This window comes from Homo sapiens, chromosome 7 (assembly GCF_000001405.40).
Source record: "Homo sapiens chromosome 7, GRCh38.p14 Primary Assembly".
NCBI classification, from domain to species: Eukaryota; Metazoa; Chordata; class Mammalia; order Primates; family Hominidae; genus Homo; species Homo sapiens.
The window spans coordinates 102,874,630-102,900,375 of record NC_000007.14 but is presented as its reverse complement, the minus strand read 5'-3'; the positions used below and the strand labels follow the sequence as shown (position 1 = coordinate 102,900,375).

At 39.7% G+C, this 25,746-nt stretch overlaps 1 protein-coding gene across 21 annotated transcripts in view, besides 1 other annotated feature; it reads left to right on the top strand.

Annotated features, from left to right (window-relative positions):
* Positions 1-25,746, top strand: part of FBXL13 (F-box and leucine rich repeat protein 13) — a 263,608-nt gene that overhangs the window by 174,421 nt on the left and 63,441 nt on the right. For 19 of the 21 annotated variants that reach the window (NR_105043.2, XR_927410.4, XM_017011850.3 and 16 more), the window contains 5 exons: positions 16,064-16,162; positions 16,691-16,808; positions 16,909-17,071; positions 21,926-22,045; positions 22,783-22,909. Coding sequence is in view for 19 of the 21 variants with exons in the window: in XM_017011850.3 (XP_016867339.1) it covers positions 16,064-16,162; positions 16,691-16,808; positions 16,909-17,071; positions 21,926-22,045; positions 22,783-22,909 (627 nt within the window). In the remaining 2 variants the exon portion in view is untranslated. The remainder of the gene's footprint in view (positions 1-16,063; positions 16,163-16,690; positions 16,809-16,908; positions 17,072-21,925; positions 22,046-22,782; positions 22,910-25,746) is intronic. The other 2 variants (XM_005250207.5, XM_047420045.1) reach the window with 1 other exon arrangement.
* Positions 23,621-24,820: an enhancer, noted in NCBI's record as "P300/CBP strongly-dependent group 1 enhancer chr7:102516003-102517202 (GRCh37/hg19 assembly coordinates)". NCBI's record gives its function as "activates an origin of replication core promoter dependent on BRD2, BRD4, P300/CBP, MED14 and CDK7 cofactors, with strong dependence on P300/CBP, by STARR-seq in HCT116 cells {active_cell/tissue: HCT116}" and the evidence as "EXISTENCE:reporter gene assay evidence [ECO:0000049][PMID:35650434]".

Below are 25,746 nucleotides of genomic sequence, written 5' to 3'. Positions count from 1 at the left end.
GAGCTTACACCTAAATGCTTTTTGCTGGCATTTGTTGAGTGCCTGATGCATACTGGGCACTGCGATGAATAAAACAGCCTCCCTGTCCTTTAGGAGCTCTGGATTAACGTAAACAAAATATGTCATGGACTAAACTTTAATGCCCACTGCTGTTGTCCAAAAACAGGAAAAATGTATTTATATGATATTATGAAAGAAGTTTAACTATATTTCTTAGAAAAAATAAATGATGATGAAGAGCTGCAATAAAAAGTGAAAATCAATTACATATGTTTTAGAAGTATTCTGAATTATTTTGGGATTATTTTATTATTTTATTTTATTTTTTTGAGATGGAGTCTCACTCTGTCACCCAGGCTGGAGTACAGTGGTGTGATCTCGGTTCACTGCAGCCTCCACCTCCTGGGTTCAGGCAATTCTCCTGCCTCAGCCTCCTGAGTAGCTGGGATTACAGGCATGCACCACCACGCCCAGCTAATTTTTGTATTTTATTGGCCAGGCCAGTCTCGAATTCCCAACCTCAGGTTGCCCACCTCGTCCTCCCAAAGTGCTGGGATTACAGTCATGAGCCACCGTGCCCAGCCTCTTTGGGGATTAGATACACACTGTAGGTTCTTTAATTAACATGACTGATTTTCTAATGAATATCATAACTTGCAAATGTACTTACATTGTACTGGTATTAGTATTTTCCCATGGCTACTAGTCATTTGATCCAGGCCTGGTCAATCATAAATTCCATCTTCAGGGGTTAAGATTTGTCCAGGAAGGGCATGTAACCCTAACAAAACCATTCAGAATCTTCTGGATACTTAACATTGGGAAATATAGATTCTGTGCTCCCTGAGTTTGCAGGGCCTGGAGCGTATAGGTCTAGGCCACTTTGTGGTTCTCTTCTCCAGCAGCACAGAAGAAATTTGTTTGCTGTGGGAGAGAGAATGAAATCTTCACAAAGAAGCCTACCAAGAGGGAGAGATGATATGTTTGAAGAGAGATGATATGTTGTTTAACTGGACTTGCGATTGAAGACACCATTCATTCCCATTCTAGCTAAGCTAGCTTATGTTGGGTCTCCATCATTGCAATTGAAAGAAACTGATACAACTCTGTTGAGTCTGTAATTTCTATTTAGCTTTCATTTGGGGTTTAAAAGAATACTTCCAGACTGGGCACGGTGGCTCACGCCTATAATTCCAGCACTTTGGGAGGCCAGTGGACAGATCACTTGAGGTCAGGAGTTTGAGACCAGCCTGGCCAAAATGGTGAAACCCTGTCTCTACTAAAATTCAACAGTTAGCCAAGTATGGCGGCGCAAGTCTGTAATCCCAGCTACCCAGGAGGCTGAGGCAGGAGAATCGCTTGAACCCGAAGATGGAGGTTGCAGTAAGCCGAGATTGTGCCACTGCACTTCAGCCTGGGCGGCAGAGTGAGACTCTGTCTCAAAATAAATAAATAATTAATTAAATTAAATTAAATAAATAAAAATAAAAGAATACTTCCAGATGTGCTTTAGGGAGAGCCTTACTCGAGAAAATCACTGAAGTGCAAGAGAGAAAGTTGTGAAGGTTTCTCACCATTAGTCACATGCTCATGTTTGACGATGTATCTGAATTTGTTGCTTTCAACATGCTTGTGATTGACCGCAGAGCAATCCTTAACATCCAGGATGCCAGATGAAATCTACTTCCCACTTTGCTGGCACTGACAGTTGGGACCTAGTGAACAAAGAAACTTCCCTAATGACTTTTTTGGGGTAAGTTTGGCCAAAATATAATACAGAAAAGTGGCCAGGCACGGTGGCTCATGCTTGTAATCCCCACACTTCGGGAGACTGAGGTGGGAGGATTGAGACCCAGGAGTCCAAGACCAGCCTGAGCAACATAGGGGAGACCCTGTCTCTACAAATAATAAAAAAAGTTAGCTGGGCATGGTGGCACATGCCTGTAGTCTGAGGCTGCGGTGAGCCATGATTGCGCCACTGCACTGCAGCCTGGGTGACAGAATGAGATCCTGTCTCAAAAAGAGAGAAGAAAAGAAAAGTATACAAAGTTCTATGAACATTCATGTACGTTGCTTTTGGTGAACACAGCAGACATTTTTGTTTGATATATATATGTTTGTGTATTTATATATACATGGATATATATGTATACACACAATATATACATGGGTGTATATATACACATATATATGTATGTGTGTGTGTGTATAGGAGTCGAGTGGCTGGGTTGTCAGGTGTGTTTGTTTGGCTTTAGTTGATATTGTTAGTTTTACAAATTGGTTGTGCCAATCCTAATGACACTTTTATGATTTAGAAAACTTAGAGATGTGGTTTCTGCAGGAAAGCTGATGCTGTGGCGCCCCATACTTACTCCCTATTTTTACCCATGTAATTAATTTTTATAGCAATGTTATAAGTATATTACAAAAGGAGTGGGAGAACAGCATTCAAACTTGGAGTGGGTTTTTATGCTGATAAATATTCATTCCTTCTCAGAAACTAGCAATAAGTATTAAAGTCATCTTATATTCACTTCCACAGTAACTAAGTTTCACTCAATTCTCCTTTTTTCAAATATTCTTTGATCAAAGTGTCAGATCTCAATAAGGAATTCCTATGGTGACTATTCTCACTAAAAGAAGTTAAGAAGTTTAAAAATACTGTGTTTCCTCTGCAATATTGTGCAGGAAAGAAAAAGAACTCAAGGGAAAAAACATAACCAGGGATTTCTATTTTATTTCACATTGGATTTATTTTGTTTATTTTGGAACTCAGATACCAAGAGCAGATTTAATTATACTCCTCAGTTCATGGCAAACTTCCATAATCAGTCTGTGCAGGGCCCCTCTCTTGTTTAATTTTATTTCCTTTTGTTCGTATTTCCCATTTATATTCCCCTCCCCCTACACAAGCAACCCCTCTAATTTATGTTTCCTTAAATCTCTATGCATTCTTGTGTTCTCATAAATTATATCGTGCTATAGATTTTATTTTTCTCTTTTCCTACTTTTAATAGTATTTGTTAAAGTGCCTCTTTAAGTTACCTCTTCATCTCTCAATCCCTTAAGCACAGAGGGCCCCAGGGTTCAGTCCTTGATCCATTTCCCTTCTCCAGCTATACCTACTCCCTTGATGATCTCATCTTGTCTCATGGCTTTATATCACCTACAATAACAAGCACTCATATATATATAAAATCATATATATACACACATATACCATATTTCCTCATATAGATACACACATATACATATATATAAAATATATGTATTTAAAAGTATATGTATCTCATGTATATGATTTATATATCTCCAACCCAGACATTTCTCTCAAAATTTAGACTCTTGTATCTTAAAAAAAAAAAATTCCTGCTCCTTGCTCCACTACAGCCCTCCCCATCTCAGTTAATGGCAGCTCCATCTTTATAGATGCTTAGGCCAAAAATCTAGGCACCATCTATTATGGATTGATGGAATCCATTGTTCATTGATGGAATGAACAACATTTATATGTTGAAGTCCTAACACCCAATAGTACCTCAGAATATGACCTTATTTGGAAATAGGGTAATTGCAGATGTAATTAATTCAGATGAGGTCATTTAGGGTGGAACCTAATCCAGTATGATGGCTGTTCTTTTGCAAGAAGGAAATTTGGACACAGACACAAGCATACAGGGAGAATGCTATGTGAACCTGAAATGGCTAACTGTAAGCCAAGGAGAGGGGCCTGGGACAAATCCTTCCTCACAGCCCTCAGAGGGAACCAACTTTGCCAACACCTTGATCTCAGACTTTGTGCCTCCAGAACCAGAGAATACATTTCTGTTGTTGAAGCCATCCAGTTTGTGGTACTTTATTACAGCATGTCTAGCAAACTAAGACATTACCCTTGACTCTTTTCTCTCACTCCACATCCACTCTGTTAGGAAGTGCAGTTGACTATTCCTGCAGAATCTAATCAGGATCCAACCACCATCTCCACAGCCACCACCCCAGTCCAAGTTACCATGATCTCTTGCCTGGTTATTCCAATAGCCTCCTAACTGGCCTTTCTGCTTTCACCCCTGCCTCCTGCAAGTCTACTTTCAACATAATATCTAGAGGCATCCTTTAAAAACCCAAGTCAATGTCCTTCCTCTGCTTAAGTACCTGGCAAGCCTTCTTATTCATTTAATAAAAGAAAAGCCTTGGAAGGACCTACAAGGCCCTGAGAAATCTGTCTCATCTTCCAGTTGCCCCTTTGACAGTATTTCTTGTTCTCCTTCTTGCCAACTCTACTCCAGCCACTCTGGCTTCTTTTCTATTCTTCAAAAACATAAGCAGGCTCATGCTGCAGGGTTTCACACTGGCTGTTCCCCTGTCTGGAATCTTTCTACAGATATCTTCGTGGTTAACTTCCTCTAAGTCTTTCCTTAAATATTCCCATGAATGAATGGATAAAATGTACTAGCTAAAATGCTCCAAGGAGATTCACATTAGTTCCCAGTTCATTTCAGAGCTCTCTAAAATATGTCCGTGTTTCTCTTGGAGTCTCAGAATGGAAAATATGAGTAGGAGAAAGAGTTTTAATGGGGAGAACAAAGCTATCCTACTTGTACATGAGAAAGTGCCAATTGGGAGGGTGATGATTCCTGGTTTTACTTTCCCTTTATCCTCTGCTCTGTTTATGTGTAACTCCAACAATTCTCCCATTGACATTATCATGGGGTAGCCACTTTCCCTACAGATTCATGTATCTTCAACTGTGTGCAACGATGGGTTATGGCCCTCTGCAGGAAGCCAGGCATGGAACAACCAGACATGCTGGGAAGCAAGGCTGAGGCCCACTCAAGCTCAGGTTCAAGCCCAAATGCCTAGAAACCAACAACTCTGAATGTGGAGTTGGAGAAGAAGCTGGATGAAAAGTGAGGAGTTTGGACCGTGTTTCAGATTTATATGTTTACATTTAGGATAGTGAAACCAGACAGTAGGGGAGCTTGCCATAGGGGTTTCTGCTTCGGTGCCTCCCCTGTTCTTCATTTCCAGCCTCAGTTGTTTCACTAGGCTCACCTTTTGCCCTCTGCCTGGACATCCTGCTACTGTCCCTTTCCTCCATTCACCACATTAACTTGCACTTATCCTTCAAGGTTCTGTTCAATCACAGCCTTCTCTAGAAGGGCCTCACTAAGCCGTTCCTTGCCCTATTCCAAGCTGGGTTAGTATCCCTCTTGTGTATACTTTTATCATTGTACTTTTCACTAAGCATTCTCTACATATTCAATTATCTGCTTGCTTGTCTGCTCTCCTTCCCAAGGTAAGCTCTTTGAAAACAGGGATGGTGCCTTATATAATTGTGTATCTGTATCCTTAGCAAATAATACAATACCTGGCTCATAGTAGGACTTTGATAAGCTTGACAAATGAATGAATGAGACTGTGGCCAATTTCAGGGCATGCCTCCCCAGGTGCTTCAGGTGGAAGCTCAGGATGCCTGTTACGTAGTGGGAAGTTGGTAACTTGCTAGAGCAAGGCTTGATGATCTCTTTTCTTGGTAAGGTCAAGTCTGATATTTCTTTAAATTTACAGAAAGAAAAGTGCCTAGGAAGCTATGAAATATAAAATGAAAGTATTTTCTCTCTCTCTCTCTCTTTTTTTTTTTTTTTAAGAGACAAAGTCTTTCTCTGTGACCCAGGCTGTAGTACAGTGGTGTGATCATAGCTCACTGTAGCCTCAAACTCCTGGGCTCAAGGGATCCTCCTGCCTCAAGCCTCCCAAGTAGTTGGCATTACAGGCGCATGCTACCAAGCCTGGTTAATTCTTTTCAAATTTTTTTTCTAGAGACGGGTCTCAATATGTTGTCCAGGCCAGTCTAAAACTCATGGGCTCAAGCAATCCTCCCACCTCAGCCTCCCAAAGTGCCAGGATTACAGGCATGAGTCACCATGTGCACTCTATTTTTTCACCAATTATATTTTAATCACTATACACAAATCAACAAAAAATGAAAAGGGACAGTATTCTAGGAATGTTCAAATGATTATAATACTCAATGCAGTAATAATGGCTTATCAGTTCTTGTACTGTTAAATCTCTCTAGAGCCCACGAAACTTAAAGGTAGGCTGTACAAACTGCAAACTGGAAGATTCCAAGGTCATTTCAGTTCTCTCTAGGTTACATAAATTCCAACCTTCTCCTTTCAGAGAAGCAGAGATCATGGAAGGTCTTACTTGTTCACCCCTGGGATTTGTGTTGGAGGTTGGAGAAAGCCACACAGGCATGTCCAGGGATGAATGTACTAGCCAAATTGAATGGAGATTGCATAAGCAAAGCAAGAGTCAGGGGAGGAATTTCTTTGTCTCTTTCTTTTCTTTTCTTTCCTCTTTCTTTTCTTTCCTCTTTCTTTCTTTCCTCTTTCTTTCTTTCTTTCTCTCTTTCTTTCTTTCTTTCTTTCTCTTTCTCTGTCTCTCTCTCTCTTTCTTTCCCCTCCCTCCCTTCCTTCCTCTCTTTCTTTTTCTTTCTTCCTCTCCGCCTCTCTTCTCTCCCTTCGCCTTTCCCTTCCCCTTCTTCTCCCCCTCCCCCATTCCCTCCTCATCCTTCTCCTTTCTTTCTTTTTTTTTTTTTTTTTGAGACAGAGTCTTGCTCTGTCACCCAGGCTGGAGTGCAGTGGTGTGATCTCGGCTCACTGCAAGCTCCACCTCCCAGGTTCACACCATTCTCCTGCCTCAGCCTCCCCAGCAGCTGGGACTACAGGTCCCCGCCACCACACCTGGCTAATTTTTTTTGTATTTTTAGTAGAGATGGGGTTTCACTGTGTTAGCCAGGATGGTCTCAATCTCCTGACCTTGTGATCCGCCCGTCTCGGCCTCCCAAAGTGCTGGGATTACAGGCGCGAGCCACCGCGCCCAGCCTCTCCTTTCTTGAAGTTAGGAGACCTGGGATCTATTTCTTGTTATGCTACTAACCAGTTGTGTAACCTTGGAGTTACTTGGTTTTTCTGCCTCGATTCCTTCACCTGTAGAATGGCTAGGCTGGGCTAAATAACCTCTAAGGTCTTTTTCAGCTTTAGGATTTTGTGTTTCTAAATGGTAACTAGACAAGATAACCAAAAAAGGAGCAAGATTGGAGAAAAAAGAATAGTGAATCTTATTTTGGAAAGGCCAAATTTCAGGTTGCTGTGATACATCTGGGTACAAATGACAAGAACAAATTGGAAGTAGAAGTCTGGTCCTTGGAAGAGAGCTGGGAGTGAAGGTATAGATTTGGAAGTCTGTCAATAAACGTTAATTGGAACAACAAGAGTTTTGTGACCAGCTAAACCAGTTGTGAATGACCAGATTATGTATCAAAATGAATTGGAAACAGTTAAATTCAAAACTGTGATGCACTTATATTTGGCTGATTCCATTTTCCTTTATTGTATGGAATAATAAAGGGCAGGAAAAGCCTGACTTTTTAGTGTTGGCTGAATTCTATGGTGTAAATACTCTCACCATGGCCTATTTTAAGCTACCAACAGGAAGTTGGGAAGAGATATGCAGTAGCACATTATTGTGTAATATTCTAGAGAAATGATAGACATTAATATCCTCAAGAACATAGATAATGCTAATGTGGTAAAAATGAGGAAGTGACACATTTTGAGTATGTACTACCTTGGTTTTTAATATAAGAATATCATTTGTGAAACTAAAGTGCTATACTACATATGGTTAAAAAAATTGTTGCATTTTGTATTTGAAAAAATATGTGGTTTTAAGTATCATTTAATAAGGAGGAGTTCTAGTGGAAAAGTAGTTATGAGTCAAAAAAATCACAGTGCAATTCCTGCTTTTCTGGGTCAGTTATTGTGCCTCAGTTTCCCTGTTAGAGGAATGGTTTGTGTCCTTTCTGAACCAGACTTCAACCTGTGTTGAAAAAAAATTGTAGAATTTATGAAAACATTTTTATATATCTTGTAAATCGGACTTATATAAATTTAAATGGTTGTTAAAATTATTCATTGGAACATAACAGTTATGTTCATAGTGAAAATTAAAAATTAAAGAAAGTAACAAACACCTATTGTTTAACATCCACAGCTTAATATAATCTCTTTGTAGGCAAAATGTATAAGGATGTTTATTATATTAAGTGGTAAAAATGAAACATCTGGCAAAAATTTTTAGATCTTGAAGAATCAGATGACAAAGTGATGAGTCTCAGGGGACTAAGATCGTGTTTCCTATTCCTGAAAAAAGGGTTTGAAAAAATTTTATTCTTTCTGGAAACATACTTATTTTGGTTTCTTATTCTCTTCTCCCTATCTTGTGAAATGACACAGAATTTCATGAACTGCTTACAAAACTCTATTTTGGTCTTGGACCTGGGTGAGCATGTGGTTAGAACTGTAGCTGTAAAGCCACCATCTAGTTCAATAAATCTAGACAAACCAAGTAGCTCTGTGGATCATTGTGTTGTAAGAAAAAAGTATTATGGTTGTGATTTTCTCAGTAATACAAGGGAAACTATGAACAATTTGGCCACTGGTTGAGGAAAAGAACCAATTAGTGTATTCTAGAATGGCAAAGTTTAGGATGGATCAGCCTGCTTCTGACAGATCCCAGCTCTGAGTCATTGTGCAGTAAATGCACACAGAGTTGGCAAGCATGCAAGCCTTCCTGGCATCTGTAGGCTTCACTCAGCTTGTGTCCTGGTTCCTCACTCACACTGGAAAATTAATTTTTTTTTAATGTTTGGTTGTCCAGTGTTTTTATATAAATATGGCAATGTTTAACAACTGACCATATTGACTGCCATCCCGTTGAAACTACTAATTCTAATTTATATTCTACAAACAATTCATTCAACAACTACTTGGTCTATTAACAAACACTCTGCACCAGGCACTGTGCTGTACTGTAAACGATACAGTTATGGCTAAGATGCTGTCCATGCTTCTTGGGAGGGAAACTAGACATGTGTGCAGGTAACTGTCATATAAGGCAGAGGATATAAAATGCAGGGAGAGTGTAGACCACAGGCTTTGGTGCTCAGATGTAAGAGTTAGAAACATGTCTACCTGAGGTGATCAGGGAGGACTACCAGCAAGAAGTGCGTAGTGAATGGATAGGATTTCAGACCATAGAGATGGGGATGGCTGTGAACAATATATAGACCTAGACAATACAGGATCATCTAAAGAGGGATTGGCAGGACCTCGAGAAAGACAATTACCAGACCTCTCTTCCTGTCCCTATAGAGGACATGGTATTTGAGAGTCTGTCAAACCCTCGTAGCACAGTCCCTAGGAAGTGTTGCTATTAAAGATGCTTGTGGTGCATTTGAATGCAATAAAACAATGTTCCATAATAGTTTTGAAGGAAAGCTTTGTTTTTCTCTCCAACAGTTCATTCTACTTGCTAAGTCAGGCTCCTTTGAGTTCACTAAGAGGACATAAAAATATATGGATATTACTAAAGTCATCACACTACCTATTAGTCATTGGATGCAGTGCTGTGAGAATGTGAGAAACAGCTGGAGGTGGTACAGAAACACAGCATGGGCCATGTCTATCTCAGATGGATATTTCTGGCTGCCTTAGAGGGTCTGGCTCTGCATATATGTCTTTTCTGTGCTGCTGAGCTAGCTGACTCACAGGCAGTTTTGGAGGAGTGGGAAGTGGAAGCTTCATATGATGTTATCATCCCTGTCACTAAGTCTCTTCCTTCTTTTTACTACCTTAGAGCGGCAGAGGGATCTGAGCTAGTCCTTTGTGCTTTGCACTTTGGTCTTTAGTAAGTATGTGGCTCACTGACAACTCAATTCCTTTACAGACAGGTCTGTCTTCTCATGATGATGGGTTGAGACCCACCCAGAGGCAGCTGGAGAGAATTTTCCTGTGATCACCAAAGCTTTTCTGCCCCCATCAGCAGCAGTAGCTGTCTGCTGGGACTTGTGGTTGGAACACCACTGGTGAGGCCAAGTTCCTCAACTTCCCAATCAGTGGGGGCTTAACCAGCAAAGGACAGGGTGGCAGGGCTCCAGTTGGTGTCAAAATGGAAGCCAAAATCACTTTACAACCAAACGGGAATCAGATCTCAGGTGTAAAAATCCTACACAGAAAATGCACAGATATCAGCTGTGATGAGACCTGGAATTTTAACTTGGTAACATATTTTGCTTTTTCCTTTAGAGAGGAATTTTTAATTTCAGACTTATATCTCTATTATTTTAGGAAGAGGAAGGACAACTAATGGTTGCTTGGCCTAAAAGATTCTGGGAGGAATATGTGAGTCATAAAATATTAGCCAAATATCTTTTTGGATATTCTAATGTAAACTGTGTAGGAAACTAAGTACTTCATGCCAGGACAAAGCTAAAGAGTCCTTCTCAGAGCCCTACCCCCCACCCCCCACTTTCTGGATACTAATCTTATTGGTTGATAGCATCAAGTTTTGGGCTGTGTTGTAAGGATCACCCAGCTGTGGCTGCTTTTTGCTATCGTTTTCCCTCTTGTTCAGGAAATCTTGTCATGAACGTGTTACAAAGACAGCAAGAGAGAAAAGATTGTATGTTTTATGAAAACCATTATTAGAGATATTAATGTTAGGGTTATGAACTAAGGTCTGGAATGGGGGGAATTTAGAATTGTCATAAAAAACAACAAAGGATGAGCTCTTGTCCTTTGCAGGGACATGAATGAAGCTGGAAATCATCATTCTCAGCAAACTATCACAAGGACAAAAAACCAAACACTGCATGTTCTCACTCATAGGTGGGAATTGAACAATGAGAACACCTGGACACAAGGCAGGGAACATCACACACGGGGGCCTGTCAGAGGGTGGGGGACTGGGGGAGGGATAGCATTAGGAGAAATACCTAATGTAAATGACGAGTTGTTGGGTGCAGCAAACCAACATGGCACATGTATACCTATTTAACAAACCTGCACGTTGTGCACATGTACCCTAGAACTTAAAGTATAATAATAATAATAAAAATTAAAAACAAACAAAAAACAGTTCTCAAACCTGGGGTTGTGTGTCATAATAGGAAGAGGTGGCCTCTAGCCCTGGCTCTGCCATTGCTATGTGACTCAAGATAATCCATTCATTCATTCATTCAACATTTCTGGAGCACCCACTCTGTGTCAGACACTATGTTCAGCACTGGGGCCACGTTGTGAGGAATAGATAAAGAACCTGTTCTCCGATCACACAACTTCTCTGAATCCCATTTCTTTGTTTGCAGTAAGAGGGCTGCACCACAATGAGTTCTCAAGACCCCCTACTCCTGCTTCTTGATTCTTTCCCATGGGAGCAAAATGTGCCCAGAAGAACAATAACAGGAAAAGTGATAACAATATTACATGCCAGACATTATGCTAGCTAATCACTTTTATATACATTGCCTCATTTTATTTTCTCAAGAATTTCCTAAAATGGGTATTATTATGCTCATTTTCCAGATGAGGAAACTAAGAGTCGAGAGGTTGAGCTACTTTTTGTTATAAGCAAGAAAGAGGTAGAGCCAGACTCAAAACCAGCCCAGCTAACTCCAAACCCAGCATTCTTCTCTCCTCCTCTGTTCATGTTTTGAAAGGCTCATTCCTCTCCCCTGGACTTTGCTCTGGGCTACTTATAAAAAGTTTACTCAAGAATTCATAGCAGTACAAAAAAAAACAAAAACAAACAAAAAAACCACCTCATTCTTGCCTTACCAGTCTTCTACTAGCTTTCCCTCCTTCCTTACCTACTCAACTTTTCTTATTCATCCCAAGAGTGATCCTGCCACTTCAGCCAAGACCAGCACTCCCACTGCTTTGCCTCCACTTGTGCTTACCTTCCACCTGGAATCTTTTTCTTTTCTTTTATTTTGAGACAGAGTCTCGCTCTGTTGCCCAGGCTGAAGAAGTGCAGTGGAGCAATCTCAGCTCACTGCAAGTTCCGCCTCCCGGCGATTCTCCTGCCTCAGCCTCCTGAGTAGCTGGGACTATAGGCGTGTGCCACCATGCCTGGCTAATTTTTTTGTATTTTTAGTTGAGATGGGGTTTCACCGTATTAGCCAGGATGGTCTCAATCTCCTGACCTCGTGATCTGCCCACCTTGGCCTCCCAAAGTGCTGGGATTACAGGCGTGAGCCACTGCACCCAGCCTGGAATTCTTTTCAGTCTTGTCTGTTGCCAAACTCTGCACTCTTTCCCAGACTTTATCTTACTCCTAAATTTAATTCATTCATCCCCTCATAGTTGTCCAACACAGTAGGAAATTCAAAAAAAGAGTACCTGAACATCTCTTTGAAGGAAAGTAAGGCACACACGGATTGCAGGAAGAGTTATAAAGAGTCGTGGGCCATTTATTAGTTAGTGTTTCCCTGAAAGAAGAGGTCTATGGTAGGAGATGATTCAAAAACTGTCCAAGGGCTTCCTTACGCTATCTTTTCCCCAAAGATGCCTTTTTCTGTTTCTCTTTTTTTCTGACTATACATGGTCACTGTAGAAAATTTGAAAACTATCCACTCTTCAGAGATAATCACTATTAGCATTTGGTGTATTTCCTTCTGTGATGGTTAATTTTATGTCACTTTGGTTAGGCTATAGTGCCTAGTTGTTTGGTCAAACACCAGTGTAAATGTTGTTGCAAAGGTTTGTTTTGTTTTTATTTTTGAGATGTGATAAACATTTAAATCAGTAGACTTTGAGTAAAGTGGACTCCCCTCTATAATGTGGGTGAACTTCATTCAGTTGAAGATGTTAAGAATAAAGACAGGTCTCCAAGACTGAGGTTTCCTGAAGAGGAAACAATTCTGCTGCAAGACTTGCAATGTAGAAATTCTGAGTTTCTAGACTACCAGCCTGGTATACCAATTTCAGATTTGCCAGCCCCCACAATCACATGACCAATTCCTTAAAATACATTTCTCACTCTGTCTCTTTCTCTCTCCATACACACACATACACACACTTGGATGTTTGTGTGTGTGTGTGTGTGTGTGTGTATGTATGTATATATACTTGGATGTAAGTATATCCTATTGGTTCTGTTTCTCTGGAGAACCCTGACTGATATACTTTGTTTTTGTTCTTCATTTCCTCCCAGTTAGCACTTTTCAAACTGTCATGTCTGTGTGTAAATCACCTGTCTTGTTCAAGTGCAGCCTCTAAGTCAGTAGTGGTGGGCTAAGATTCTGTACTTTGAACAAGCTCCCAGGTGATGCCTATGCTGCTGGTCTATGGACCACATTTTGTATAGCAAGGCCTTATATAATTAACTTTTTCTTCATGAAATAATATCATGAGCTCAGTTATTCTCCTAAAACATTAACTTGTAACTGTATTGCACCCCATCATACGAATTGCCATAAATTTGTTCAGGCTTTAGAAACATATTTCCCAAAGTCTTTTTAGAAAAATTATCCAAGTATAATCCCACCCAAAGGCCTGGCTTCTGTAGCACAATAGAAAAATACTAGAAATGTAGAAAAATTGTCCAAATATAATCCAACCCAAAGGCCTGGCTTCTGTAGCAAATCAGGCCTGCATGCTCAGCCCCTGGTTTCAAGGGCTTCCCTTAGCATTTTTTCTCTTTTCTTTTTATTTCAATAGCTATAAAAATTCCTTTGGCTTTTGTCTGGGTGCTCATATTATTAGTGTCTGCTGAGAAGGGGAACCTACTGAATAGACATGGTTCTCAGAAGCCATTCATACATTCCTCCATTTATTCATGTAATAATATTACTCAATTATCTCATCAGTTGTTATAGGCACCATGCTGGGAGCTGTATACAGGGGATTCATTTAATAACTAATCAATCATAAAATGAATATAATTGTAGTTATGATAATTACATGGTGATGTAAGTATATAACAAGAAACTGGTCTAATCTAAGGGTCAGGAACACTTCCTAAGGAAGTGACATTTGAGTTGAGCTCTGGTTGTCCTGGGGCTATGACACTCAGTTCCCTAACTTTTGGCTAGTCTTTTCTGAATAGGTGGAGGCTCTGATGACAGAACCTTGGAAGTCACCTTTAGTGAGAGGTGGCGCAAATGAAGTCTCCAAAGGTCTCCCTAGAGGTCCATTGTAGCTGCTGCTCCTCATTGTCCCTGTCATACTCTTCTGGAGATGACCCTTCAGGGGAGTTCCCCTTCTGTCTGCTTCTGGGCAGCATCTCAATTTCCCTTTACTGAATCTGAACACAATCTGATTTCCTATCTGTGTCCATTTGTTACAGGAAATGCAGTCTAAATAACAAATTATCTTAAGGTAATTCATTATAGGCAAATATTTTGATCTTTGAATCAGTCATTATTTCGGACACTCTCTGCCACTGGTCTTTCCATTAATGTGGATAATGATAGTTGAAAAGAAAGAAATCGGTACTACAAAGCTACAGTAATTGAAACAGTATGGCACTGGCATAAGGATAGACATATAGAACAATGGAGTAGAATTGACAGTCCAGAAATAAATCTATACATTTATGGCCAATTGTCTTTTGAAAAGGGTGCTGAGACCATTCAATGGGGAAAAGAATACTTTCTTCAACAACTGGCACTGGGGCAACTGTATATCCACATGAAAAAAAAGTGAAGTTGGACCCCTACCTCACACTATGTATAAAAATTAACACAAAATGGTCAATAACCTAAATATAAGAGCCAAAATAATAAACCCTTTTGAAGAAAAAATAGGAGGTAAATCTTCATGACCTTGGATTTGGCAATACATTCTTAAATATGACACCAAAAGCATGAACAACAAAAGAAAAAATAGATAAACTGAACTTCATCAAACTTAAAAGTGTTTATGCATCGAAGTACATGATTTTAAAAAATGAGAAGACAACCTACAGAATGGAAAATAATTTTGAGTCGTACATCTAATAAGGACTTGGTATCCAGAATATATGAAGAATTCTTACAATTCAACAACAAAAAGACAAACAACCCAACTAAAAAAAAAAAGGCAAATAACTTGACTAGACATTTTCCCAAAGAAGACATACCAATGGCTAGCAAGTACATGAAAAGATACTCATATCATTATTCATTAAGGGGATGCAAATGAAAATCACAATGGAGTACCACTTCAAGCCCACAAGGAAATTTGTTTTAATGGGAAATAAGTGTTGGTGATGTGGAGAAATTGGAACACTTATAGATTTCTGGTGGGTAGGTAAAATGGTGCAGCACCTGAAGAAAACATTTTGGTGGTTCTTAAAAATTAAGCATAGAATTGCCATATGATCCAGCAATTCTTCTCCTAAATATATACCCAAAAGAATTGAAACCTGATATTCAAACAAATAGATGTACATGCGTGTAGATATTCAATATCCAAAAGATGGAAACAATCCACATACCCATTAACAGATTAATGGATTTTTAAAACGTAGTTTTTCCATTGAATAGGATATTATTCAGTCATAAAAACGATTGAGGTGTTCATGCATGCTACAATGTGCATGAACCTCAAAAACATTACACTAAGTGAAAGAAGCCAGGAACAAAAGGCCACATATTGTATAATTCCATTTATATGAAATATTCAGAATAGGTAAATTTATGGAGACAGGACACCGATTAATGATGCCAGGGGCCAGGAGGAAAGGAGTATAGGCAGCAATTGCTTAATGGGTACAGGATTTCCTTTTGGGTGATGAAAATGTTTTGGAACTACATTTAGGTGCTGGTTGCACAACATTATGAATGATTAAATAACTTATGTAAGTGGTTAATTTTTTTTAATTAAAAAAATTTTTTTAAAGAGACAGGGTCTTGCTGTGTTGCCCAGGCTGGCCTTGAACTCCTGGCTGAGGTGATCCTCCTATCTCAGCCTCCCAAGTTGCTGAGACTACAGGCATGCACTGCTGCATCTGGCTTACATGGCTTATTTTATGTTATATAAATTTTACCTCGATAAAAAATTAAATAAAAAAAAGAAATCAAGACTAGATTCTTTCCCTCTTGTGTCTGCCACATTTTATGGTTAATTTTAAAACATAGTAACAAAATTATGGTGTATCTTTGGTTATTACTCCCTTGGATTTTTATCATGCTAATGCATTCTCCCATTATTTTCTACTCTGTACAATTCAGATTTCAGTCCAAGGCTTCAGGTACATTGCAAACAGCTGCACTGGAATTATGCATCTTACCATTAATGACATGCCAACTCTGACGGACAACTGTGTAAAAGTAGGTAGTTGGGAAGTACCTTTACTTTTCTGTCCCATAAGATAGATATATGTTCTAATGGCTTGAATTACTGAAAAATATGAATGGACTTTTCATTTTAGTTATTTTAAAATAGTAATAAAATCATTGAAAAGTTTCCACACATGCACATACCCTTGAAAACATGTGAATCCTTAAATATCCTAAGAAACCTTGTTTCACAGTTAGGATTTTTTTTAGTGATGTTACAGCCTAAGCACAAACTTTGAGTTTAGTTCTCCATGCTAAGCTGCCAAATGTAGTAATTTTTTTCAGTAGTCCATTTCTCATATTTTCCCATACTCTTAGTACGTGATTTAATTCTGATTCCTCCACATTAGTCAAATGTAGGTGTATTAAAATGTATGGAAAAATCCAGTTGTCTTTGAAATTAGGAAAATTAACAGTTAACATGTCTGTCTCTAATATATTGAAGGAAAAAGTGACTTCATTACCTTGCTAAACCTGTTCTGTACACTTGATTAATTTAATCATTTTTTTCTTCTAAAGGCTTTAGTTGAAAAATGCTCTCGTATTACATCGCTGGTTTTCACTGGTGCACCGCATATCTCCGATTGTACTTTCAGAGCTCTTTCTGCTTGTAAACTCAGAAAGATCCGATTTGAAGGTCTGTTATATTAAAAATGTGGTTCAGCATTATTGTTTACTTTTACTCTTGTGGCATTCTAAATACAATACTTGTCTTTTCTTCTGTTTTTTAAAAACAGGAAATAAAAGGGTTACTGATGCATCCTTCAAATTTATAGACAAGAATTATCCAAATCTCAGTCACATTTATATGGCTGACTGCAAGGGAATAACAGACAGCAGCCTCAGATCCCTTTCACCTTTGAAGCAACTGACTGTGTTGAATTTGGCAAATTGTGTAAGGTAATGAGTCATTCAGTAATATATTCAAGAAACGTTGATTATCTAGTATGTGCCAGGTTCTCTCCTAAGGAACTTATGGTTTGTGGGGTAAACATGAAAGTCAAGAGTTCATGTGTTAAAGTAGAGGTAAGTGCAGAGTTCTGTAGTTATAAGAAAGAGGGGCTCCCAACCCAGGTTGATTATATGGGGTGTAGGGGAAGCTCAGGATGTGAGGAATTATGGACCCTTGTAAAATTAAGGAAACTCACAGGAATACTTACAGGCTACCTTTCCTATTGAGGGTTTCCATAGCTAGTTCAGTTAACATGATCTTTTCCCACATGGACTTTCTGACTTGCTTATGAAGAACCAATCTCATTGAAGGTTTTCCTCTTGGGTACTGGATAGATTTTTCCTCTGTGAAGAATTTCTGACAAATGGACAGAGGGTGGGTTCTTACTGAAATCCTTTCTTTAGCTGGGCCACTATTGGACTACTCTCCTGGTATTCTCAGGAGCAAATTCTGTTTTTTTGTTTTGTTTTGTTTTGTTTTGTTTTGTTTTTGAGACAGAGTCTCGCTCTGTTGCCCAGGCTGGAGGGCAGTGGCACGATCTCAGCTCACTGCAACCTCTGCCTCCCATGCTCAAGTGATTCTCTAGCCTCAGCCTCCTGAGTAGCTGAGATTACAGGTGTGTGCCAGCCCACCTGACTAATTTTTGTATTTTTAGTAGAGAGAGGGTTTTACCACTTTGGCCAGGCTGTTCTTGAATTCCTGACCTCAAGTGATCCACCTGCCTCAGCCTCCCAAAGTGCTGGGAATACAAGTGTGAGCCTCTGCACCCGGCCAAGGATCAAGAGGTTTCTTGCTGAAACCTGTTCCCCAGTGGGTAGCTCAGACTCTTACCTATGTAGAATTCTTATAATCTTATAGGGCCAGATAATAACAAAATAGCATTTGATCCACAAAATAGTACTTGATCCACATTGAAGTTGGCTAATATTTGGGAAAGCACAAGTCAGCATAATAATCTAAGCTACACAAAATCTTTTATTTATTTATTTTTATTTTTTAGAGACAAGGTCTTGCTCTATTGCCCAGGCTGAAGTACAGTTGCACAGTTACTGTAACCTTGAACTCCTGGGCTCAAGTGGTCCTCCTGCCTCAGCCTCCCAAGTAGCTAGAACTACAAGGCACACTCCATCATATCCAGCTAGTTTTTAAATTTTTCTAGAGTCGGGGTCTCACTAGATTGCCCAGGCAGGTCTCAAAGTCCTGGCTTCAGGTGATCCTTCCACCTTGGCCTCCCAAAATGCTGGGATTATAGGCATGAGCCACTGCACTGGCCCACTACACAGAATCTCAACCTATGTTGCCTGTTATTAAAATGGGGAGGCAGCATGGGTCATTGGGAGCTGGAGGAGATATAAGGGTTTGGAATGGGAAAAACCTGGATTAGGAAATGAGGGCTCCAGCCAAGGGCCAGTGAAGAATTAAAGCCTCCCGCCAACAGCCATGTGAGTGAGCCTGGAAGCAGACCCTACAGCCCCAGTCAAACCTTCAGATGACTGAAGCTCCAGCTGGCATCTTGACTACACACTCATGAGAGACCCTGAGCTAGAACCACTCTAGTTCACTTCTAAATCCCTGAGGTCCAGAAACTGGGAGATAATAAATGTTTGCCATTTAAGCCACAAAGTTTGGATCAATTTGTTACATAGTAATGATAACAGTGAGACACCCACCCCCCCCACACACACACACACTACATACACAAGTGTGTATCAACTAATTCTATCTGTATGAATATGTGAAATAAAACTGAATTTCATTCTTGCATTTCGTGCAGGCTTCTGCGGGTTAATTATTCTTTTTTTTTTTTTTTTTTTTTGAGATGGAGTCTCACTCTGTCACCCAGGCTGGAGTGCAGTGGTGCAATCTTGGCTCACTGCAACCTCTGCCTGTTGGGTTCAAATGATTCTCCTGCCCCAGCCTCCCAAGTAGACAGGCACCCACCATCATCCCTGGCTAATTTTTGTATTTTTGTAGAGATAGGGTCTCACCATGTTGGCCAGGCTGGTCTTGAACTCCTGACCTCAGGTGACCCACCTGCCTCGGCCTCCCAAAGTGCTGGGATTACAGGCGTGAGCCACTGCGCCTTGCCTAATTAATCTTAAATGGAAGTTTTCTGCCTCCAGAAGTAGAGGTGACAAGACACTTCAAAGGGCTCTGCCAAAAATATTCAGATCCGTGATTAAATATATTTTCAATATACTGCTGAGCTCACAAAGAGTAAGAGAAATATCCAGTAGCCTTGAATCCCCTCATTCTTTTCTACTCTCTCAATGAACAAATTCCTTGAGATGAATAGTGAATAGCCAGCAAACACAAAAGGTTGAGCAGCTCTGAGCACAAATTTTATGACAACAATTGCCTTTGAGAGAATCAGCTCTGAGCAAGACTCAAAGTAGGGAGGCAGAACCTGAGACTTCTGTAGGGTTTGTACCTCTTTAAGGGGGCAGAGTGGTCTCAGGTAGGTAGTTCCTGAGCTCCTGGAAGAAGTTAGCACAAAGCTTCTCAGGCTAGAGATTAAGATCAAATAAATAGGTGCTCAAAGTCAAAGATTGTCAAAATGCACAAAGATATAAGTCACCATGAGAAAGAGTCACAGAAACAGCAAGATACATTTGACCTTCAGGTAATTCAGATACAGGAATTGTCAGACATGGATTGTTAAGTAAACATGTATGAAATGTTTGAAGAAATAAAAAATGGGATCAGAAATATGAGCAGACAACCAAACATAATAAAACAATTAGATTTATCTGGGAAAAAAACCTAACTTTTAGAAACAAATGATGTAATATAGTTATTGAAATAAACAATGGAATGCTGATCAGCAGATTAGAACTCACAGAGGAGAGAAGTATAGAGCTGGGAGATCATTCTGAAGAAATGACAACAGAGGGAGGATGAAAAAGTATAACATATAGGGTAAAAAGATTAAGCTTAATTTCAGAGTTTTAAGATTTTAATATGTACATATAAGAGTTAAACCTAAAATAGTAAGTTGGGTAGTTAAAGAATTTTTGTTTTTCTCAAACACACATCAATCCTTTAAAAAATCATGCATGGACAAAATTTAAAAGCAAGTTCCAGCAACTTTCAAACTATTTTTATCAACAAATGGTATTCTCTCTCTACAAAGCAATGGGAATCAGCAACAAAAAGATAAATTAAAAATACATATTTAAAAGAATTTAAAAGTAAAAATCCTAAGGTGTCAGAATCACCTGAGGAGCTGAATAAAACTATAGATGCCCGTCGGGCGTGGTGGCTCACGCCTGTAATCCCAGCACTTTGGGAGGCCCAGGTGGGCGGATCACGAGGTCAGGAGATCGAGACCATCCTGGCTAACATGGTGAAACCCCGTCTCTACTAAAAATACACAGAATTAGCCAGGCATGGTGGCAGTCGCCTGTAGTCCTAGCTACTCGGGAGGCTGAGGCAGGAGAATGGTGTGAACCCAGGAGGCAGAGCTTGTAGTGAGCTGAGATCGTGCCACTGCACTCCAGCCTGGGCGACAGAGAGAGACTTGGTCTCAAAAACAAACAAACAAACATACAAAAAAAACTATAGATGCCCAAGCCCCACTTCAGAGCTATTGAGTCTGAATCTTTAGGGATGAAACCCCAGCTTGTGTATTAAAAAACAAACAAACAAACAAAAAAACAGCATGGATACTTTTGATATCCAGGTTTGGCCCTAAATGTATTAACCAATTAATTTGGATCATTACCTCAATAATCTTTTCCATTCACTTTTAATCCTTTCTTGACTATAATATGAATTTCTACACACACACACACACACACACACACACACACATCCTTAACTGCTTTCCTAGGTGCTGGCACACTCCCCCTCTTATAGGTGGAAGGTTGATGGGCACACAGGCATCGCATCCACCTACTATGGCTCATTCAGCTGAAACAGGATATCTTTTGCCTTAACTGCTCAGTTCTTTGCAAATCTGAACAAACGGAGGGTGTAAACGGATGTCAGCAATCAGTATGTTTTGCTCCCAGTGTTCTTCCCATCTGTACGCCCACCTGTAGAGCTGTTGTGAAACTGCCTCTTAGGATTGCAATGGTGGAAACTCCTGTCCTGCTTTATTTGCTGAAATGCTTCTTAGAAGGATCTGGTGGTTCTCAATTGGAATTAGAAATGAAGATCCCAATGGAAGACAGGGAACTGATGGGCCAAACAGACATCCAGCCATTTATAAAGCAAGATCAACATGGTAGGGTTATGGCACTGACACACAGAAGAAGTTTCTGATTAGGATAGTTTGGGAAGGCTGAGGTCAAGGTCTTCTTCCAGCATCAGGTTTTCTCTGATTCAGAAGGAAAGAAGCCAAAGGGCTCATATTGGGTTTCCTATCCAGCAAATTGACCTTGTATTTAGTGAAAATTCCTCCAAAATCATGGCAGTAGTTTGACTCTTAGTCTTGGTTCTCACTCTCCTAAGTTTTGATCTTTTTCTTTTGCAGGAAATGGTATCAGGGACTACTTAACTTGATCACTTTTTAACCCAAGAGAAAAAGACCTTGAGGGCCATCTGTCTTATTAAAAATTATGAACAAAGGAACAGAAATAACATTTTAATTAATACTTCTCCCATTCCTCTCATTTATACATTTTATTACATTAAAATCTATATAATCAAATTTGGTTTTAAAATATTGACAAAATACCAGTATATAGATATTACCTTGCTATTTTAGAAATATATTGGGTATGGTAGCTATTACTTTAATACTATTCTATATGTTTATATATAGAATCACATGTAAAATTTTTCTCTCTTTCCTACAGAATTGGTGATATGGGACTAAAGCAATTTCTTGATGGTCCTGCAAGCATGAGGATAAGAGAGCTAAATTTAAGCAACTGTGTGCGGCTAAGTGATGCCTCTGTTATGAAACTATCTGAGCGGTATGATAAAACAGTCTTTTACATCATATCATTAGTATTGTATATTTGATAATAGGAGACATGAGACACCTAAAAGCAAAGATTTCATGACATTTGGGGGAACATCAGAGATGCCCAGAAGCTGGTTAAATGTTCAGTGAAACCATGTGAAAGACATTGAAGTCATAGATTGGACCAATTTTTAAATTATATTATTATATTTAAATTACATCTGAGGGAGTCGTTCCTGAAATGATGAATATCTAGATATGGGTGGCTTCCCTGTACTTTTTCAAGGAGATTTTCTCTAATCTCCCTTTTCCAGGAGATTATCTTTACTCCAGCATTTCCCAAGGGGTGTTCTGGCTGGTTTATTCTTGACTCCCCTCTTGTCAGAGGTCTTGTACAATTCCTGTAGCAAACTTGTAAGGGATAAGTAGGGTTCTTAACTTGCACTTTTAGTGGTCATTCACTATGGTACTTACATGATAGTTTTTGATATGTGACATATTTTTTCCTTATTAGAAATTGTAATACGAAACTAAATTACAGAAAGAAAGTCATATAATAATCTACTGCCCTTTCATGCAACTTTGTAATGTCAAATTACTTTCTACTTTTAGTCTTACTTTTATGTTGAGTAAAGGAAAATCTTTGCTTCAATACCATTTGTTTTCCCAAGATAGTTTTTATATGAAGAAATTGCTTACTGACAATATGATTGACAGCTAAAATTAATCCATGCTACTTTCTTTTAGCTGCCCTAATTTAAACTACTTGAGTTTACGAAATTGTGAACATTTGACTGCCCAAGGAATTGGATATATTGTAAACATCTTTTCCTTGGTATCAATAGATCTCTCTGGAACAGACATCTCTAATGAGGTAAAAAAATTCAAAACAGTACAATGACTTTTATTGTTTTCTATAATACAATTATTTGCTATTTTGTAAATAATGGAGAGAACAATAATATGTTTTATTTGTTATTCTATTATAAAAGTTAAGTTTAGGGATATTGTTTCTAGAAGGGTGATAGAAAAGTTTCTTTGAATCAACAGTCATGTTTCTCTGTTTAAAAAATAGCAAAATACAGTATTTTGGGGAAAGTCATGACAGATAAGAGTATGTCATGATAATTTGAGATTTGTTTCATTACAGAAGTTTGGTCAGTATGGAGATAATATATGTTAGATGGCTTAACTATATTTTTCTTACGGATTGCACATTTTATGAGACTACCCGAATGCCTTGAGATCTAAGTCTTTAGTTCAAGACTAAACTCTAGAAATGGCCTCAACAAATCTACAAAAGGATATGGAATTCATTTCCTGCAAGCTGCTGATTGTATTCATCAGGGTTGAGACTCAGGCCACATCCATCTTATCCCTCTGGGACTGCCCCATTTACTAATCAAAAGGAGGATAACCCTGAGAGATTTGCCATGTTTCTGAAAGAACTATGGGCTATAGTTATACAAGGAATATATGGACTTCTCTTGAAAATCATGCATTTGGAGGGATATAGGAAGACAATATCTTATATCCTATATCCTTCCTATATAGGAGGGATATAGGAAGATATAGGGAGGTAAGGATCCCTCCTCCATCTGCTTGCTAAATCCCTATTCATCCCTGAAATATCAACTGTCTATGAGGGCCTTCTCTGAGAAGCCCTACCTTGCAGGCAAGCACTGGAATTTCTCTGCTTGCATCTCCAGCCCCAGTGTATCCTTTAACATGAACCGTTTCTATTTCTCACTGCATTGCAGACATCTGTTATGTGTTTATCCTTCGTCAACATTCGGTGGGGTCTTTTAAATGAAGGACTAGATCTGTTCATTGGTCTAGGTTCTTTCCTTTCTTTATCTATGAATGAACTTGGATTCAGCCTCCTTTCTGCTAGATGACCTCCTCTTCCCTTCCATATCGTCCATGAGTGATGTGAGATTGTGGGTAGGAAGCAGTACCATGGAGTCAACTCATTATGGCAGGGTCAGTGTCTGGTCTTCTCAATGTTGTCTTCTGTCCAAGCTGGAATTCACTGAGATGTACGAGGGCCCATTTGGTGTTTAGTTTCCCGTCCAGGTGGATCCCTGATGTCTCTTCCTTGTTCCAACTCCAAGGCCCCTTCAAGTCTTCAGGTTTCCCTGTCGTGTCTGCCTTGCTCTGGGCTCCTCTGGGTCTTCCTGGGTCATGGAGATCCTGTGAGGCTGTCTTAGGTCCACAGTCCTAGACACCTGCTGGAGACATTTTCTTGCTCCCACATCATGAATGTGTTTGCCCTCAAACTCATGACTCACCCTCCCCTTGCTCTGCTACAGGGTGACTCACACAAGTCAACTAGATTCCATGTTAGGGTTGGTGCTTGTGAGACATTTCTGAGTGATTACAGGGCCAGTAGAAGGGACATTCCAGGGTTTTCCTCTACCTTTCTTTGCATCATCATCATCAGCTGCATTTCCTTAGTGTTCTACTCCCCTCTGAACCACAGGCCTGCTGTGGTTCCAGCTTCCCTGAATGAAGTCGGCCTCTGGGCTTCAATAACATCATATCTTCCCATTGTCCTTCCAGCATAGGGACAGTAGTGGCTTCCTACTGCTGCTAAGCTCTAGATTTTGTCACTGTCCCATTTGGCTTCTCAGTTTCTCTACCACCTATGTAGCCATTCCCCCATTAAAATTAAATCTCCTCAGTTTTGCATGCTCAGGGTTGTTTCTGCTTTTCCCGTTGACTCTTAACTGATACAATGACGAGCACAGGAACACTCTGTCTTATTGCTTTTATGAACCCTACTGGGAAAGGTGGAATGGGTTCCCATCTACTTAGGCCCCCAAGCCTACCCGGGGGTTCCAACTTTCTCTCTAGCTGGATAGAAAGTGAGAAGGTCTAGAACAGACCCCCCATATGATGAATTTCTCAGCATTTGCTTCCCTCTGGCTCTCCCCTCCCCTCCTCTTTTCCCCTGTCCTCTCCTTTCCTCCTCTCCCTTCTCATCTTCTTCCCCTCCACCTCTTCTCTCCCCTTTTCTCATATTTGCTCCTTTCCTTTTGACATAGATTCTTTTCCTAATCTGGGGGTGGAAAAAATGTTCCAACTGATTACATGGTTTTGAAAAATGTTATGCCCCAAGTCTTTCAGGGCTTGGGCTTTTGAAGCTTAAAGGCCCAGGATTTTTATCCTGTGTTCTTTTGTAAGAACCTTTTCCTGACACATAGGAGCAGAATCGCCAGCTGTTGTCTGAAGGGTCACAGAGTGACAAGAAGTAGAGAATCAAAGCACATTATAAAACACATCAAAATATAATTCCCCCACAGCACTTACCACAAGGCTGAAGTGCCTGGGGGAATATTTGTTGACTGAATGGAGTAAAGGTTAAAATGCTTTATTTAGTTTTTAGCATTTGAGGAAAGCTCAGGTTTTATTTTTAAAGACTGTATATTAAAATTTTATCTACAGAGGACAAGTTAAAAACTTAGGAATATAGGCCAGGCACGATGGCTCATGCCTGTAATCCCAGCACTTTGGGAGACTGAGGCAGGCGGGTCACTTGAGCCCAAGAATTTGAGACCAGCCTGGGTAACATGATGAAACCCCATCTCTACAAAACATACAAAAATTAGCCGGGTGTGGTGATGTGCACCTATAGACCCAGCTACTCAGGAGGCTGACAGGTGGGAGTATGGCTTGAGCCCAGAAGGTTGAGGCTGCAGTGAGCTGTGA